At 46.3% G+C, this 19,172-nt stretch overlaps 2 long non-coding RNA genes across 3 annotated transcripts in view, besides 1 other annotated feature; one reads left to right on the top strand and one right to left on the bottom strand.

The window, feature by feature from the left end:
- LOC105371067 (uncharacterized) overlaps window positions 1-19,172 on the bottom strand; it is a 31,887-nt gene that overhangs the window by 5,232 nt on the left and 7,483 nt on the right. The window lies entirely within an intron of this gene.
- On the top strand, window positions 9,921-17,991 carry LINC02164 (long intergenic non-protein coding RNA 2164). 2 transcript variants are annotated; one of them, XR_933033.2, is made up of 3 exons: window positions 9,921-11,081; window positions 15,602-15,732; window positions 17,421-17,991. It is a non-coding gene; the product is annotated as a long intergenic non-protein coding RNA 2164 (long non-coding RNA). The 2 variants fall into 2 exon arrangements; XR_933032.3 differs by lacking the exon at window positions 17,421-17,991 and adding an exon at window positions 16,142-16,358 and having other exon boundaries at window positions 11,009-11,081.
- Window positions 17,878-18,598: an enhancer, noted in NCBI's record as "OCT4-NANOG-H3K4me1 hESC enhancer chr16:5262989-5263709 (GRCh37/hg19 assembly coordinates)". NCBI's record gives its function as "activates a minimal SCP1, AML or CMV promoter by ChIP-STARR-seq in naive H9 embryonic stem cells {active_cell/tissue: H9 hESC(naive)}" and the evidence as "EXISTENCE:reporter gene assay evidence [ECO:0000049][PMID:30033119]".

Below are 19,172 nucleotides of genomic sequence, written 5' to 3'. Positions count from 1 at the left end.
TGGGAAGGTAAGGGGCAGAACTTTACTGTGAGCAAAGGTTGTCTTATTATGCAGATAAGGTCTCCCAGGTAATCTCTTAGAGCTGCCCTCAGAAGAATAGATGAAAAGTCTGTCTCAGCATGGTGACGACTTTTAGTCTCTTCTCTGGTGGTTATTCGATGAGATTCCTAGGGAGGGGGTCTTAAGACGAACGTATTTCTTTTGGAAAGAAGTTTCTTTAGTCAAACAAGAAAATTTCAGAGAGAGTCCCTCCCTGTGCTTGAGAAAAGAAAGAGGATCAGAGAGATAGAGAGATGGGGAGCAGGGGAAGGTCAGAGAGACCTTGGTTCTGAGACTTATTTCTGAGGCCTTCCTATTTCAGTTCAAAGCATTCAGCACGTCAAAGTGCCAAATTTTGGGTTATCATTTTCTGAGCCACAACAGTAATAATATTAGTAAAATAATAATAAGTGATATTCACTATTTGCAATAGCAAAGAAGTGGAATCAACCTAAATGCCCATCAATGATAGAGTAGATAAAGAAAATGTGGCACATAGGCCGGGCGCGGTGGCTCACGCTTGTAATCCCAGGACTTTGGGAGGCCGAGGCGGGCGGATCATGAGGTCAGGAGTTCCAGACCACGGTGAAACCCCGTCTGTACTAAAAAATACAAAAAATTAGCCAGGCATGGTGGCAGGCGCCTGTAGTCCCAGCTACTTGGAGAGGCTGAGGCAGGAGAATGGCGTGACCCAGGAGGCGGAGCTTGCAGTGAGCCGAGATCAAGCCACTGCACTCCAGCCTGGGTGACAGAGCAAGACTCTGTCTCAAAAAAAAAAAAAAAAAAGAAAATGTGGTACATATACACCATGGAATACTATGCAGCCATAAAAAGGAATGAGACTACGTCCTTTGCAGGTACATGGTTGGAGCTGGAAGCTGTTATCCTCGGCAAACTAACGCAGGAAGAGAAAACGAAATACCACATGTTCTCACTTATGAGTAGGAGCTGAATGATGAGAACACATGAACACATGCGGGGAACAACACACACTGGGACCTGTTGGTGGAGGAGAGAGAGCATCAGGAAAACTAGCTAATGGGTGCTGGGCTTAATACATAGGTAATGGAATGTTCTGTGCAACAAACCACCATTGCACACATTTACCTATGTAACAAATCTGCACGTCTTGCACATGTACCTCTGAAACTTAAAAATTGAAGAAAAAAATAATAGCTGATATTTTTTAAAGCTTACTCTGTGTCAGGCACTGTTCTAAACATTCTGTGTATATTAGTTCATTTAATCTTCTTTATAGGGCCAGGCTCAGTGGCTCATGCCTGTAATCCCAGCACTTCGGGAGGCCAAGGCAAGTGGATGACATAAGCCCAGGAATTTGAGTTTGAGACCAGCCTGGGCAATATAGTGAGACCCCATCTCTACAAAAAAAAAAATACAAAAATTACACAGGTGTAGTGGCACACACCTGTGGTCCCGGCTACTAGGGAGGCTGAGGCAGGAGGATCACTTGAGCCCTGGAGGTAGCGGTTGCAGTGAGTGCTGATTGCATCACTACACTCCAACCTTGATGACAGTGAGACCCTGTCTCAATAAGAAATAAAAATAAATAATCTTTTTTACAACCATGGAGGTGGATATTATTATTATTCCCTTTTAACATATGAGGAAGATGAACCTCTGAGAAGTTCAACAACTTGTCCAAGGTCACCCAGCTAGTAAAGGATGGAGCTGGGACTCGCATCTCAATGATCTGCCTCAAGCCCATGCTGGTAACCTCTCAAAGACACTTACCTTCCAGAACTTTCTGGGGAATCACTATAAGATCAAGCTGACTGCTTAGGACCAGCAAGAACCATGGTGCATTGTGTAATAATTTCAGGGTTGACATTAACAAAAAGCCTTACCCCCTTCATTCTCTCTTCTTCAGATACCAGTCACCACCCAGGGGCCTCCATCTCTGCATCAGTAACAAAACAAGAAGAGACCACATCCAAGACCACAGTGAAGGTCAGAAATGACTTCAATGCAGGCATATCTGGCTCCTGAACCTGAGCTCTGAGGCACCATGCAGCCACATGCCTATTATCTTCTACTCCTGCATGGAAATCCCTGAGGTTCATGGAAGCCAGCAAGATCCCAGAAGTCCCTGTGAGGCACAGAAGGCAGAGAGCAAACCCCTGGTTACCCCTAGAAGATTAAACTAGAGCAAACCAAATAGGCAACCACGGGGATTGGGAGACACCCTTGATCATCAAAACAGAGTAAAAAATCCCCCATCCTCTTGGGCTGACCTAGAAGCCAAGGCCTCAGAAGACACAACAGAAGCATCTTTCATTGTCCCTCCCACAGAGCTGCTGGCCTCCTGCACTGTGAGCAAAGCTATGGTGTCCCCATGGGCAGGGCTGCCTATGTCCGTGCCCCAGCTATGCCGCCCCGCTGTTTTATAGGCACAAGTAAGATGATGTCCCAACCAATGCCTCCAACATGGAGTAAAATTCATATAGTAATAATCCCTGTTCTTATGCACACACATACACACACACATGCACACATAATTTAAGCCTCCTTGGGAAGTGAACAAAAATGCTGGCAAAAAAAAAAGTGTGTCTCCCCAACATGAACCTGTGGCATTGGCATTTGACCCCTAATCTAGGCAGGGGTTAGCATTCTATCAGCCCCTCTCTGTCTCTCTCCTTCTCTCCTTTCTCTCTCTCTCTCTCTCTCTCTCTCTCTCTCTCTCTCTCTCGCTCTCTTCCTCCCTCCCTTGTCTCTTTCTCTCTCTCCCTGCTTCTGCATCTTTGTTTCTCTCTCCCTCCCTTTCTCTCTCTCTCCCTCTGTTTCTCTCTCTTCCTTCCTCCGTTTCCCTCCCTCCCTCTCTCTTACTCCCTCCCTTTTTATTTCTACTTTCCTCCCTCCCTCGCTCTATCTCTCTCCCTCCATTCCTTTCTCCATCCCTTTTTCCCTCCCCTCCCCCTCCCCCTCTCCCTCTCCCTCTCATTTCTTGCTGGCCTGGTTGCTGCCTTGAAGTCCTTTGCAGGGCACTTGTACTTCAGCACCACGGCCAGAGTAGATTTCCCCTTTCCCTCCCAGGCAGTGGATGATTGCAGATTTCTGAGACTTCTCCTCTTCCCCCTCCATCCCTCTCACTCCCACTTGCTCCCTCCTCTCTACCCCTTCTTCCTTCCTCTCTTCTCCTCCTCTCTCTTTAGTGCTGTTGAACACACCTGTAGTGATGACAAGGTTGTGCCCAAGGAGGGAAGCTTCTATGACAGATACCGGGACACCATCCAGCTGGGCAAGAAAACACAGCTTATGTGGGTCCCAGGCACAAGCGCCACCTGGGAACACCTTGTCTGGGTTCTGATATCTGATTGATTTGGGCGCCAAGCCTCTGGAAAAGAGACAAAGAATCAAAAGGGTTCAATAGTGAAGTCCACACTACACACATTGGTCCCAAGCTGCACTAACTCAAAACATGACATTTCCTACCCCAGTCCAGGGCAGGGAAAACACTGGAGAATAAAAGGGCTAGGAAATAAGGACATGGCTGGGTGCAGTGGCTCATGCCTGTAATCCCAGAACTTTGTGGGGGGGCGGCCAAGGTGGGAAGATCATATGACCCCAGGATTTCAAGACAAGCTGGGCAACATGGCGAAAACCCATCTCTACAAAAAATAAAAAAATTAACCAGATGTGATGGCATGTGCCTATAGTCCCAACTACTCCAGAGGCTGAGTTGGGAGGATCACTTGAGCGACAGAGGTCAAGGCTGCAGTGAGCCATGACTGCACCACTACACTCCAGCTTGAGTGACAGAGGGAGACCCTGTCTCATCAAAAAACAGAAAAAAAAAAAGTAAGGACTCACATTCTTTCTTACTGCCCACATTTTACTACTCTCTCTTACTCCTACTTGCAACTTGAAAAGGAGAGTCTGTGTTTTGTACACCCAAATGTGCATACAGGTGCTGTGTGTGCATTTATGCTGAAGGTGAGGGGTGGGGATTAGACAGAGAGAGGTGTCCATGAACAATCCTAGTAGTAAAATGAGAGGCAGGCAAGGTCAGTCTGAAAGTGAAATACAGAACAGCAGACATTTATCCAATGGGGAAGAGCTCATTCATTTCTTCTGTGCAAATATCAAAAAAGAGCTAACATTTGTGAGCAACTGATATGGCCAGGCACTGTTGATTGCTTTATATGCCTCATGCCATCCAGTCATGACAGCTTGATGAGGCAGGCACTGTTCTCATTACACAGATGAGAATGCTGAGGCTCAGAGTGACTGAGTAATGCGATCAGGGATCAGGATCACACAGCTACTAAGTGGCAGACATATGCATGAGGGTACAGAAGGCAAGCACAACATAAAGAAAAGAAACTCATCCTGTTTGAGAAGTTACATGAATTCGAGTGCAGCAAATTTAGAGATTAATTTTCCCTCTCTTCTGATCTCAACAAATAATTTTTATGAAGACAGTGCTGATTATTTCTTCTCTATGTGGGCAAAGTACTAAAGTAAAGGAAAGTGACTTCGATTAAACCATACATGGGCCAGGCATGGTGGCTCACACCTGTAATCCTAGCACTTTGGGAGGCCGAGGTGGGCAGATCACCTGAGGTCAGGAGTTCGAGACAAGCCTGACCAACATGGCAAAACCCCATCTCTACTAAAAATATAAAAATTAGCCGGGTGTGGTGGCATGCATCTGTAACCCCAGCTACTGAGGAGGCTGAAGCAGGAGAACTGATTGAACCCTGGAGGCGGAGGTTGCAGTGAGCCGAGATCACGCCATTGCATCCCAGCCTGGGTGACAGAGTGAGACTCTGTCTCAAGGAAAAAAAAAAAAATCAAAGCATACTTGGTTTTAGTTGGATAAATGGCAGGCCTTACCATCAGGGTCATTTGGGGTTAGGTGGTTGGTACATTTTGTTTATAAACTGGGATGTGTCTCCTGTAATGCAAACAGCACAGGAGAAGGAAGTGGGGAGACTTAAATTTGAATTTGAATTTAAATTTAAATTTAAATTTAAATTTGAATCCGCTAATTTGAGGGTGACCTTGGGCAAGCTGCTCCAGTTTCTTGGGTTCTAGCCACCCACCCTTCTACTGCCAAAAAGGAGGGGCTCCGATTAGGTTATCTGATGATCCTTCCAGCTATGACATCAGCTTATGTTCCCAAAAGCTGCTGTACGATGAGGCCTCCTGCCCTTCAGGAGCCAAAACAAAAAGACACACTGGACCATTTCATCTCCACCAGGAGCTTAAGGAACGTTGGAGGCCGCGTCTAACCTCAGTCCCCCAGGAAAACACTGTCTGAGCCTGCCCAGAGTGCAAGCAGCCCCCCACTCCTTTCGGAAGCCAGCCACGCACCGCCCCACTTCAGGTGCCCATCCATCAGCTGGGTTTCCTGGGGAAACAGAGCTCATTCTTTAGCTCTCTTTTATGGCTTTTACCCAGAATTGATTTGAATAAATCAGTCTAATGCTGTCTCTACAATGGAACCAATTGTAAAAGAGCTTTATTTCCTCAGCTTTGAAAGCAGGTTGGAGCTGCCTTCTTCCCACAGCAAGACTGATGGAGAAAAAGGAAGCACACTCAGTGAATTTGACAAAGGAGAATTCCTCGAAGGGGTGGGAGGGAGCCAAAGCCCCCCACCCAAGGATTCCCCAGCAAAGGGAACCCACACTAGCAGGACCCACACCTGCAGAAGGAGGCCAGAGGTGACCAAATGGGATTCATCTGCACCTGATGTTAATACCGATACCTGCTATGCTCAGCTGCAGGCTTAGGGAAGCATGTTATCCCTGAAAACTTCTGTTTCCCTGCTTCTTCCTCTCTCAAGACACAGGAACAGCTAAACTCTACTGAGCTTTTCCGACACTCCAAGCACTGTGCCAAGTCTCAAGGGCACCTCCAATTCAACGATCCCGAACACAAGGGTTTTCTTTCCATTCTGCAAATGCCCTCAACGTTTTGTCTACCCCAGGGCCTTTGTGACTCCTGTTCCCTCTGTCTCCCTCCAACGCCTACACATACGCCCATGTCTGTAAGCCTGGCTCCTTCTCCTCCTTCATATCTCTTCCAATTCCACTTCCTCCTACGGGTGTTTCCCAAACACTCCAATATAAACGAGGTTCTCACTATTATTCTCTCAAACCATCCTGTTCTTTCGCTCCTACATCTCTTTATAGTACAGAGGCAAGATGGTGTCTTATTCAGAGACACAGTTTTGGGAGCCAGAGGCCTGTGGTGCCTCTGCTCCTCCTCTTATTAGCTGAGGACCTTGGACACGTACTTAATCATTCTGTGCCTTAGTTTACTCACCTGTAAAATGGGGATTATAAAATACCCACCTCAGCTTGCAGTGAGCCAAGATCATGCCACTGCACTCAAACCTGGGCGACAAAGCGAGACTCCATCTCAAAACATAAAAAAATAAAAAGAAATAAAAATAAAAAAAATAAAAGCACCCACCTCTTGGGGCTGCAGTGAGGATTAACTGAGCTGACACCCTGTCAAGGGTTCCGAAATGTACCTGGCATGTAGAGAGTCCTCAGTAAATGTTTGTTATTATTTCTGCTGTGACTGTTCGATTTACCTCTACTCCCCACCAGCCTGTGCACATCATGAGCTGACAGCCTGGTCCTCCTGTTCATCAAGACAGCCCCAGGGCCGAATTCAGTGCCTGGTACACATAGGTACTAAAAAAAAAAATGTATGTTGAATGAATGGACATTTCCTTTGTTTTGTTAAGTTTGCTTCATATGCGTTTCAAAGAGACAAAGTGGAAATGGCATTGATTTTTATCATTTTACAGACGAAAAAAACTGAGCCTGGAAACCTCAATGTATCCAAGCCTGGCTGATCGAGTGTCCAAGCAAGGCAAAAGCCCATACGCAGTGTTTTTCCCACCAGAGGACGAGAAGTAGAAACCTCAAACTGCCCCTTTGCCCTCAGGAACGACTGGGACTCAGCTGAGGTCCCTGCCAGCTTGGCTGAGGCCACCACACCTCAGCAATGAGGAGGTTGCAGCTCAGACCAGTGTCTGGGGAATGAGGCTTATAGGGCTGTCTGCAAACTTGCCCCACCTGCTCGTCCCAGGGGATCTTGATGGGTTGCAATGAGCAAACCAAAAGTTCTGGCTGACAATGCATGAGGCGAGGGCCACCAAGTCAGTGATGCTGAGGCTGAGGACCAAGGGCTCAAAGAATCCTCTCTCCCTACAGCAAGAATGAACATATTGATCAGAGGGACCCACCATTCACCAAGGAAGGACAGCCTTGCATCCAGATGAGTGTACTCAGGAAGCAACTTGACCCCCATAGGCAAGTCGAGGTGGGGACCACAGAGACTTTTGTTCACTATTATCCCAGTGTTCTTGGAAAAGGGCTGCCCTTGATAGCCATCTGTTGAATGACTGAATGAATACACTGGTGGTTGAATGAATCAAGGGTTGAATACTTGGATCACAGCAATAATAAAAACCTATCTGTTGGCCAGACATGGTGGCTCACGCCTGTAATCCCAGCACTTTGGGAGGCCAAGGCAGGCAGATCACTTGAGCCCAGGAATTTGAGACCAGCCTGGGCAACATGGCAAAACCCCATCTCTACTAAAAATAGAAAAATTAGCTGGGCATTGTGGCACGCGCCTGTAATCCCAGGTACTTGGGAGGCTGAGACACGAGAATCACTTAAGCCTGGGAGGCAGAGGTTGCAGTGAGCTGAGATCGCACCACTGCACTCCAGGCTGAATGACAGCATGAGACTGTCTCAAAAAAACAAACAAACAAACAAACAAACAAACAAAAAAACACCTATCTGTGTCCAGCTTCATCCTTCCTCCTCATCAGAATCCTGATTTTGGAGAAGTAGTATATCATAATGGCTAACAGGGAAGACTTTGAATCCAGCCTGCCCGAGTTCAATTCCCAGCTTCACCACTCACTGTGTGACATTGAACAAGTTATCTAACCCTTCTGTGCCTTGGTTTCCCCACCTGCAAAATGGAGAGGCTAATCCCTTCCTAATGGAATTGTGCGGTTTAGTTGAGTTTATATATACAAATCACTTGCAACAGTGTCTGGCATGTAGTAAGTGCTCAAAAACTGTTGCCATACTGGCTTTTGTCCGCATGTTTATTATTTTCAGCCTTATTTGATTTGCCTCTTGCTATAAGCTTCCTTGAGCCCTTTTGGGGAAGAAGCAGAACACAAATCAATTTAATAAATGGACTACTCAAATATAACATTTACAAGGTGGACTTAATCTAACAGATTTCTCCTAATAAGACACATTTGCAAGTTAAACTGTCTAATTTGGTAATATCTTTCAACATGTTAAGTGCACGGACCCTCTGCCCAGCAATCTCACTTCTGGGGACTGATCCTCGAGATACAACTGCATGAGTGACCCCAAATGGTACATGAGGAAATTTTATTGCAGCATCGTTTAGAAAAGCAAACAACCAAAACAACCGAAGTGTCCCTGATGGGAGTTCGGCTAAATGAATTTATGGTATAGCCATAAAGCAGAATATGCACAGCTACTAAAAAATGGAGCAAGCTTTTATGCGCCAGCATAGAGAGATCCTTAGGACATGTGGCTTCTGTAAAAAAGGAGCTGCACAATGTTGTATAGAGCATGACTCATTTGTGCTTCTAAGTATATGTGTACTCCTACATAAACTCATACACATATGTACACATGCACACACAGATACTCACCACAGTCATTATATCTACATTTTACAGATGACACTGAAACCCAGATTTTGGATTTTGTTTTTTTAATCCCAACTGACAGTCACTGTCTTTTAATTAAAAAAAAAAAAAGTACAATCTACTTAGTGTAAGTGATATGCTTGATTTTGATCCTTTGATACTGCTTCATGCTTGTTATTTATTTTCCTTTATTTCCTATTTTCATTTTTCCCTGGTTGGAACAAGCTTTTGTTTGCTCCCTCTTGTCTTTAGGAATTGACTTTCCCTTTCCAAGCATTCATAAATATGTTTCTCTATCATTCTATGGAAACAAGATGCCAACCCCTGCCTTCACCAAATGTTATCATTCCTTCTTCTTCTGCCTGCCTCTCCTCAATAAGATAAGGGCTTTTTAAGGCTTCCACCAAACTCCTTCCACCACCCTCTTAGTTTTGCTGAGAAATGTTCTAACTGGAGCTATTGGGTATTTCTGTTTTAATGAAAACAATTCAATGCCATGTTTCTGCCTTATGTGTTGAAACCACCCTCTTTCTCTGGATTGAGTAATGCACTGAAGCTTTCCAGATTTAACCAATAAGTTCACTTGCAAACAGCAGAAACACAATTCAAACCAGCTTACATTAAAATACTGGCAACTTATGTACCCCGCAAGTTTGAGGGGATGGTCCTAGTGCGCTGGATTTCTCGCCAGGCCTTAGCTGCCTCCCTGCGGGGAAGGGCTCGGGACCTGCAGCCCACCATGCCTGAGCCTCCCCGCCGTGGGCTCCTGCGCTGCCGGAGCCTCCCCGACGAGCGCCGCCCCCTGCTCCATGGCGCCCAGTCCCATCGACCACCCAAGGGCTGAGGAGTGCGGGCGCACGGCACAGGACTAGCAGGCAGCTCCACCTGCGGCCCCGGTGCAGAATCCACTGGGTGAAGCCAGCTGGGCTCCTGAGTGTGGTGGGGACTTGGAGAACCTTTATGTCTAGCTAAGGGATTGTAAATACACCAATCAGCACTCTGTATCTAGCTCAAGGTTTGTAAACACACCAGTCAGCACCCTGTGTCTAGCTCAGGGTTTGTGAATGCACCAGTCGACACTCTGTATCTAGCTAATCTAGTGGGGAGGTGGAGAACTTTTGTGTCCACCCTCTGTATCTAGCTAATCTAGTAGGGAGGGGGAGAACTTTTGTGTCTAGCTAAAGGATTGTAAACGCACCAATCAGCACCCTGTCAAAGCAGACCAATCAGCTGTCTGTAAAACCAACCAATCAGCTCTCTGTAAAATGGACCAATCAGCAGGATGTGGGTGGGGCCAGATAAGGGAATAAAAGCAGGCTGCCCCAGCCAGTAGTGGCAACCTGCTGGGGTCCCCTTCCACGCTGTGGCAGCTTTGTTCTTTGGCTCTTTGCAATAAATCTTGCTGCTGCTCACTCTTTAGGTCCACACTCCCTTTATGAGCTGTAACACTCACCACAAAGGTCTGCAGCTTCACTCCTGAAGCCAGCGAGACCACGAGCCCACCAGGAGGAAGAAACTCTGAACGCATCCGAACATCAGAAGGAACAAACTGCGGACACGCCCTCTTTAAGAACTGAGACACTCACCGTGAGGGTCCGCAGCTTCATTCTTGAAGTCAGTGAGACCAAGAACCCACCAATTCCGGACAACTAGCTTCAGACTTAGCTGCATCTAGGTTCAAATAATGTCATCAGGGTCCTCTGTATGTCTCTCTCTTTATCCCTCAGCTCCACTTTGCTTTATTATCAGACAAGCTTTATCCAGGTGGACACAAGACGGCAGTTCACGGTCTCAAGCCTGTGTACTACACACAGCCCTCAATACCAGCTTAGGAGAAAGTGTCTTTCCCACAACCTCTGAGAAAAGACTCATGGAAAGTAGTGATTGGTCCATTCTTAGGATATATCCATTCCTGGACCAATCAATGTGGCCAGCAGGATTGAGTCCTCTGATTGGACAAGGCTGAGTCATGTGACCTCCCTGAACCACATAAACTGAATAATACTGTTCTGAAAATAGGAGAAAGTGGTTTGCAGAAAAGATGAGGTGCTGGCCTGACCACGGTGCGTGCCCCTTGGTCAACAAACAGAATCTGAAGAATCCAGGAAATCACAAAGGATTCTAAGAGGTCACAAAGACTGATGTTATCAGGCCCCAAAGCTTCTACATGAGTGTCAAGAGAAAAAATACCTTGATCACTCAGGTGCCCTCTCCTCAGTTTTTCTCTGTCCAGGCTTGAAGAACTATAACCATTTCCAAGTTCTAAAAGGACAGGTGGGGGAGTTATTTGTTTGTTTATTTGTTTGTTTTGATTTCAGAAAGATGTGAACTCCAGGATCTCTTGAGAGACTGCCAGGTAAGCAACCCTGTGGTTAAAATTCAGTCTTTGGTCCCACACTCATGATAAATGCAATCATAGCTTCATACATCTGGCATCAAGAAACAGTAATCTTTCAGCAAAAACTCTCACTTGGTGTATTTTTCTCAGCCTTGTCACAAGACCTTCCAATTTAACCTGAAGACACTCCTGAATTAGTAGGAAGCTCAACAATATTTCTTCCCTGACAAATCCTTGTACTTCAGCTCCAGCTATCTCTGGGAATGCAAGGTGACTCCTTGTTGGGAAAATACTGCATTTGTCCCTTCCACGGTAATGGGCTGTTGCTCACCATATATAGTGAGATTTTTCCAAGAAAGAGAAATATGTCCCCTTTGCTCCATAACCTAAGAAGAAAATAAAAACCATATTCGCCCAAATAGAAGAAGGTTGAATTTTGCTTGTTATTGTCAGCTTTGAGACTACATTGATTACTTCTAGACAAAAAAAAAAATGTTGTTTCTAATATACAGTTACCCTGCATTAAATTTATGTACTTGAGCTTAAAAGAATCCAAGTAAAGTTGTCTGTTCTTGTTGTACCTGATTAACCTCAATACACAAATCCCACTAATCAATAGTTAATTTAAAATGTGGCACTACCTCACCCCTATGCAAACATGACCCATCTTGTATATCACTAAGCTAAAAGCCATGCGGGCCATTCTCTAAAGCAACATAGAATTGTCCAGACAAGAAAATAAACATATTTCCAAAATATTTCTATGCAAGGATCTCAAATGTAATGTTTTGACTATACTTGTAACTTGAGGCATCCCAAAGAAGACACCTTGTAACGGCTCATTTTAGGTGTCCATTTGACTGAATTAAGGAATACCTAGAGAAAGCGTTATTAGGGGGTGTGCCTATGAGCACTCTGGAGGTGTTTCCAGAGGAGATTTCTGTGAGAGTCTGCGTGGACTAAAGAGGGAACATCCACTCTCAGTGTGAGTGGGTACCATCCAATCAGTTGAGGACCCTGACAGAACAAAAATAGAAAAAAAGCAAATGTGTCTCTATCTGTTGGCGCTGGGACATACTCTCCTTCTCCTGCCTTTGGACATCAGAACATCAGGCTTCCTGATTTCTGGACTCTGGGGCTTAACACCAGCAGCCCCCTGGATTCTCAGGCTTTTGTCCTTGGACTGAGAGTTACACCATGGTCTTCCAAGGTTCTGAGGCCTTTAGACGCAAGCCAGGCTACCAACATCCCAAGGTCTCCAGCTTGTAGAAAGTTTGTCGTGGGACTTCTCAGCCTTCGTAATCACATGAGCCAATTTCCCCAGTAAGTCCCTTCTTGCGTGTCTATTTATACATGATGGTTTCTGCCTCTCTGAAGAACCCTGACTAATACACTCCTCATTTGGTACATAGATCTTCCCAGGTCTTGGAATCACTTCCTCATTGACCATGCTGCCTGTATCCTCTGAATATTTAAGGTTTGTGGAGAGGCTCCCATGGTGATTTGAAGTACTGCGCTTCCATTTTCAAATTTTATGTAGGCTGAGAGCCTGTGAACTCACCCTCACCCTGATCTCATCTTCACTCATGCCTTCAGAACTACAAACAATCAAGAACAATCAGGCAAAACTGATTTATTTGTCATCTCCTGGGTTGCTGGTAACTCTTGGTGGGTTTCTTTATTTCAACTTCACACTCATTTCTGCTATAACAAAAGCATATATTTTATTGATAAATGTTTTTGTACCGTGGCTTATTCCAAAGAGGACTTAAAATGGCTAAGAAAATAGCGCATTGGAAATAGCTTTGTCAGAATTAACCATTTTGTGGATTCAATTCACAGTGATTTCTTCTGGTGGCCGTGTCTGTGCCCCCAACTCCCTCACTTCTTCAGGTAACAGATGCACCCAACCCCACTCTTAGCTGTAGAAGGACTCAAGTTGAGTCCATCGTAGTGTCTCAAACCCCCAGTCTAAGGGTAGAGAAGTAACCCAAGAGAGCCAATTACAACTCTTTCCTGGGAGTTTTCAAACAAGAGCTAGGACAGGGAAGTCCATTTTCTTTCTGGCAACAAAGCCATAGGGATAAATGGCCAGGAGATTTCTGCCAAGATTCTCACCGTGTACAAAAATTCCATCTACAGTAGGAGGAAAGAAGCCAGGTTATAGAGATGAGAGGGAGAGAGAAAATGGACACAAGAAAGCCACCCCATAGTCTAGTTATGTCAACCCACACATTCCCCTTTTCTGATGCGATGAGTTAAACACAGAACCCTGGAAGAAGAGTTGAAGACAAGACACTCATCACTCTGGTCTTTACTGAAGTCAACGTTCAAATGTTTTAACTGATTTAACTGATTCTCTACACCCTACCTAGCTGACAGACCACCCTTCTCTCCTAGAGTTTTCCTCTATAAGAACCAGACTTTCCAAAGAACATGCTGCAATCTAAACAACCAAGAATCTCACCAGCCAAGAAGAAAAGCTGTTGGGCCCTGCGGCCACCCATCCTCCCCAGTTGCAGGCACTGCGGAAGCCTCTGTCCCCACTCCTCTTACCTCTAAGCCAACCCCAGCCCAGGAAACCAGGCCATCGGGAGCACTTGATCACCCCTCTTGTTCTGCCTGGGGTTAGGTGTCTGGAAACATGGGCTTGGCACTAATGGTGGGTGCCATTGCCAATGGGCTACCTAAAGAGAAGCAGCCTCCTGGGAGGCAGGAAAACAAGCTGGCTGTTGTCCAAAGACTCTAGGCAGAAGGAAATAATCTGAGGATCCCAGAGAAGGGAAATTTCGAAGAAGAATGGGGAGAGCCTGAGGGTGCTGCCTGTGAAGATGAGATGTCATTGCAGCCATTGTTGAAGGAACGTGCAGCCTCAGGATAGGCATTGAAGATATCAAACCTTTGGGGACAAGCAATCCCAGGTGTACCAGGTGTGGTTCCCAGACCCCACCTCACTGCTATAGAATGATTTGTAGTCGTCCTGGGATAAGCCCGGGGACCCACCTGCATGGCCACCAAGCCACAGCCTCCCCAGTCTCTATTAACATAGCTTTCATGCTTGGAGTTCTTTCTGGGTGCCAGGAACTGTGCTGAGAGCTCAGCAAGCATCACAGTATCTAATTCTTGCAATAACCCTGTGAAGCATGGATTCTATTTTTATCTCCATATTACAGATACAACTAAGATTCAGAGAAATTAAGTCACTTTTATCAAGTCAGCGGCCCAGCCAGAATCCAGATGAGTTCTTTCTGACTCCAAAGCCAGGATGTTCCTCTGCCCAGACTCTCTTGACTTCCCCCAAGAGAGTGGACTCTGTCATCCACACCCACATCTTCAGGTCCTGATGGAAACATTTCCCCAATTCTCAGACTACCAAAGATCAGAGATGAGCACTGTCTGAAATTGTGGCTGCTGGTCCCACCCACGAGATTGGACCACCTTGGAGATGATCCCCAGCCCCAAGCTTGCTCTCATCCTCCATGTGCTCTTGCACAGTAATTCAGAATGCCAGGATTAACTGCCAGCTCATTGAAGCTGATGACTCAGTTTCTCCAACCCCACTCTGCTTAGTCTCCCTGCTTTTCCCCTTCAACCCATCCCAAGGAGGCCAAAAATGCGTCATGGCCAAACCCACCCACATACTGACAAAGGGTCAGAGTTGCCCATGTTGAGTTCGGAGCCAAGGTCTGAGTAATGGGCACCAAGGGGAGCATACTTTGGCTTGATTCCAACAAAATGTAAATACAGAGCAGAGAAGAAATGAGGAGGGCCAGCCCTGAGGCTGCAGCAGGTCCCACAAATGCTGTACACTCATGTCAGGAAGCCAAGGCTATAAAAGCCACAAGTGAATTAGGATGGAGTCCAAAGTGTTGATGTCATGTGAGAACATCTTCGCATAGTGTCGCTGCCTGGGAATGGGGCTGGCACTTGTGTCCAGGACAGCCAGAGATCTCAGACCCTGATGGAGCCTCCCACTGGCAAAAGAAGACAGAGAACAAGCAAAAATGAACTCTGGAGTCACTGCTTCTCTCAAGGAAATCAGGGTGGCTGGGGAACATGAGGAAGCCAGGGTGGCATGTGTTGGTCTGTGGCTGACATCCCCATTAGCAACCTGATCTGTCTTGGAGAAGTCTTTGGCAGGGTGCAAATCCCGAGCCCATTCTCCACCACCAGCTCCACTCCCCAGATACTCATGAAACCAAAGGGACAAGATCTTCCCTGGTACCACGGGAGGGAACAAAAGACCTGGGCTCAGCCAGTCAGATGTTTGCTACCAGGGTTTTGAGTCTCAAAAGAGAGTTGCAAAGATGGAGTCAGCTCTATCCCTGCCTGGATAGCTCCCACCAGATGGCTCCAACCCTCCCACATTCCTCCTGCCCATTCCTCAAACCTGATCTTGCAGCTGATCATCTGTGAGCCCCCAAAAGCCTTCTAGGAAACTCCCTCCTCCCTTCATAAATAGGATTAGCTGCTGTGGCTTGCAGCCAAGAATCCTGACTGATATACACTTCCTTTTGTTCTTTGTGTTTTGTTTTCAGAGCCAGCAGCCCCAAGGATACTTCGAACAGTGGGCACTGGTGCAATTCTATAAAAAGAAACCAGAAACCATTTAGATGTGTGTCAGGAAGAAGCACTTCCAGATGCTTGAGGAAAGATGCAAGATAGCAAGGTATCGCCTGAAGCCCAGATTTGGGATCTAAGTCCTCTGTTTCATATCTCAGGGCCTTTGTATATATTTTTCCCTGGTCTTTTCATTGGGCTAAAGCCCACCCATCATCCAGGTCTCAGCCTAAATGTCACTTCCGCTGAACAGCTATCATAATTGGTCATGATATGTTGACTTGTCTATTTGTTTAAGGTCCTTATACCCCCATTAGACTGTAAGCACCAGAAGGGAGGGAACAGGGCTGTTTTGCTCACTTGTCACTCCCCAGTACCTGGCATAGCCTGGCATGTAATTGGCATTCCATAAATATTTGTAAAGGAATTCACAATTCATGGGATGCAATCACCCGTCCAGTGGATATCTTCATGGCACCCATGAGGTGGACGCTATTATTATCATCCCTGTTTTACAGGTGGGAATCTGAGAAACAAGGAGTTTAAGGATTTTGCCATAAGTCACCTAGAAGACGCAGGGTGAGGAAGGGATTTGAACCTGAGCATACTGACTCCAGAGCCCTCTTAGCTGCTCCGTGGAGCAGGGGCTTTCTGCAAAGTAGAGGTTCTGATCATCTACTGTTGCATAATAAACCAAAATTTAGTGGTTTAAAAAACGCATCATTTGTTCTGCTAATAAATCTGTATTTTGGGCAGGGTTCAAAGGAAAGGGTTCATTTCTGTTCTTCCCAGCAACAAATGGGGAGTCTTCCCCAGGGCCTGGAGGAACCACTCTCTAGGTGAATCTTTTTTTTTTTTTTTTTTTTTTTTTAGATGGAATCTTGCTCTGTCACCCAGGCTGCAGTGCAGTGGAGAGATCTTGGCTCATTGCAGCCTCCACCTGCCAGGTTCAAGCAATACTAGATACTCCTTTGCCTCAGCCTCCTGGTTAGCTGGGATTACAGGCGCCTGCCACCATGCCTGGCTAATTTTTGTATTTTTGTAGAGACAGGGTTTCACCATACTGGCCAGGCTGGTCTCGAACTCCTGACCTCAAGTGATCCACCAACCTCGGCCTCCCAAAGTACTGGGATTAAGGGTGTAAGCCACCATGCCCAACCAAGGTGAATCTTTCATACGGCTGAAGAGTTGATGCCGGTGTCAGCTGAAAGCTTAGCCAGGGCTGTGCACCAGAGGGCCTTGGTTCCTCTCCACAGGGGTCTTGCCTCGGGCTGCTTGGGCTTCCTCACAGCATGGTGGCTATGTGCCAAGAATGAGAGAACCATGAGAAAGTTGCACAGCGTCTTCTAACCTGGCCCTTGAAGTCTCATAGAGCCACTGCTGTAGCAGGACGAGCCACAGACAAACTTCTCAGACACCAAGTTGTAGAAGGAAGGGCTTTATTCAGCTGGGAGCATTGGCAAGCTACTGCCTTAAAATCCGAGCTCCCCAAGTGCAATTTCTGTCCCTTTTAAGGGCTCACAACACTAAAGATTTCACATGAAAGGGTCGTGATTAATGTGAGTAAGCAGGCAGTATGTGACAAGGGCTGCATGCAGCAGTGGTCAGAGAGAACAGGGCAGGGAGTTTCACAGTGTTCTTCTAAAAAATGTCTAGAATCTGTGAATAACATCGGTTTCTAAGTTATGAGTTGATTTTTAACTACTGGGTTTAGGCCAGGCAGGCCCAGGCCTGGTTTCAGGCCTGGCGCCGGGCTGCCTGTCTTTGGTTTTATTTCCTTGTTTTTTCTTAAAACAGGTACTGAGTATAAAACGATATAAAACAATATGAGAGGGTCTCTCTCTTCCCTCACTGCCACTACATCCTATTTGTGGAAACAGTCTCAATCCTGCTCAGATTCAAGAGGAGGAGATTTGTACTTCGCCTCTTGATGGGGGTGAAACAAGCTTCTAGAAGGGCCCACAGGATGGGAGATATTTTGGCCATCTTCAGAGAACACAGTTTGCCTCAGCAAACAGCATATTGTATGACTTCACCAGGCTGTCCTAACTTACAAACCCCACTTTAAAATTACCACCCCTGGGAACCCCATTGCAAGTTTAGAAAAATCACTGGATTCATGAGGTCAGGAGATCGAGACCAACCTGGCTAACATGGTGAAACCCTGCCTCTATTAAAAATGCAAAAAATTAGCCGGGTATGGTGGCACGCGTCTTTAGTCTCAGCTACTCGGAAGGCTGAAGCAGGAGAATCGCTTGAACCCGGGAGGGGGAAGTTGCAGTGAGCAGAGACTGCGCCACTGCACTCCAGCCTGGGTGACAGAGTGAGATTCCTTCTCAAAAAAAAAAAAGAAAAAAAGAAAAGAAAAATCACTGGACTCAAAGAAAAGAACGTAGGAAAAGTCAACGCCACTGGTGGAGCAGGCATGGTGGAGGAAGTCTTCCCCCACAATATTTACATATTTTCACTTCATTTCCTTATAATGCCTAAAGCTCTACTAATTAGAAACTCATTTGAGATAACTAGTAACCAATTTAAAAATGCAAACACCTCCTGGGGCTAGCCAGAGTCCTCCAAACAGTCATGTAAATTGGTTCTGTCAAGGATTTCCTCCTACCCCCTACTGAGAGCCAGTTGCAAGGAGAGACTAGGGAAGGGCATTGGGTAACTTTGTTGCTAAAAGCTGTTCTGGATAGAGACGTTTGGGAAAAGAAGCAAATAAAGTTCAGCAGAAGAGGTAAGAAAGTAAGTTTATGTTTGGCCAGGCATGGTGGCTCACACCTATAATACCAGCATTTTGGGAGGCGGAGGTGGGCAGATCACGAGATCAAGAGGTCGAACCATCCTGGCCAACATGGTGAAGCCCCGTCTCTACTAAAAATTCAAAAATTAGTTGGTCGTGATGGCGCACGCCTGTAATCCCAGCTACTCCGGAGCCTGAGGCAGGAGAATCACTTGAACCCGGGAGGCAGAGGTTGCAGTGGGCCGAGATCATGCCACTGCATTCCAACCCAGCGACAGAACAAGACTCTGTCTCATAAAACAAAACCAAGCAAACAAAAAAAGTAAGCTTATTTTTAAGCCTGAACAAGTGTAGTGGTTTAAGGGATCTGCAAATATGGCCCCAATCAGGCTACAAGACGTGGCAGCAACATTTACACCCAGTCACTCCTGGCCGGCTGAGCCACTTTTCAAAACACCCTTGCACAGCTGTGCAGAGTGGCTGGCTCCACTGGCAGCCAGCAGAGCCATAACTCACATTGTCACCACTCCTCTCAAACCCCTTCGGTAAGCACTTTTAATCAATGCAACAGGAATAAACAGTTGCTGCAGAGCGGCAATGTGCAGGGAGGAACATGGTTCCACTCAGGCTCAGAAAGCAAAACCTCCTGGCTGTTTGCATCTATGCGAGAGCTCACAGGAAAAGCCCTCTGTGTGGCTGCCAGCCTCACACACTCCCCCCAAGGGGTGAGTTTCTCTTTCCATGTTAATCTATGCTCTGACGTGCCATCTGTCAACCACCACACCATTCTCACTTGACATTTCAAA

This window comes from Homo sapiens, chromosome 16, assembly GCF_000001405.40.
Source record: "Homo sapiens chromosome 16, GRCh38.p14 Primary Assembly".
Classification (NCBI taxonomy): domain Eukaryota; kingdom Metazoa; phylum Chordata; class Mammalia; order Primates; family Hominidae; genus Homo; species Homo sapiens.
This window is presented reverse-complemented; position numbering and strand designations above follow the sequence as displayed.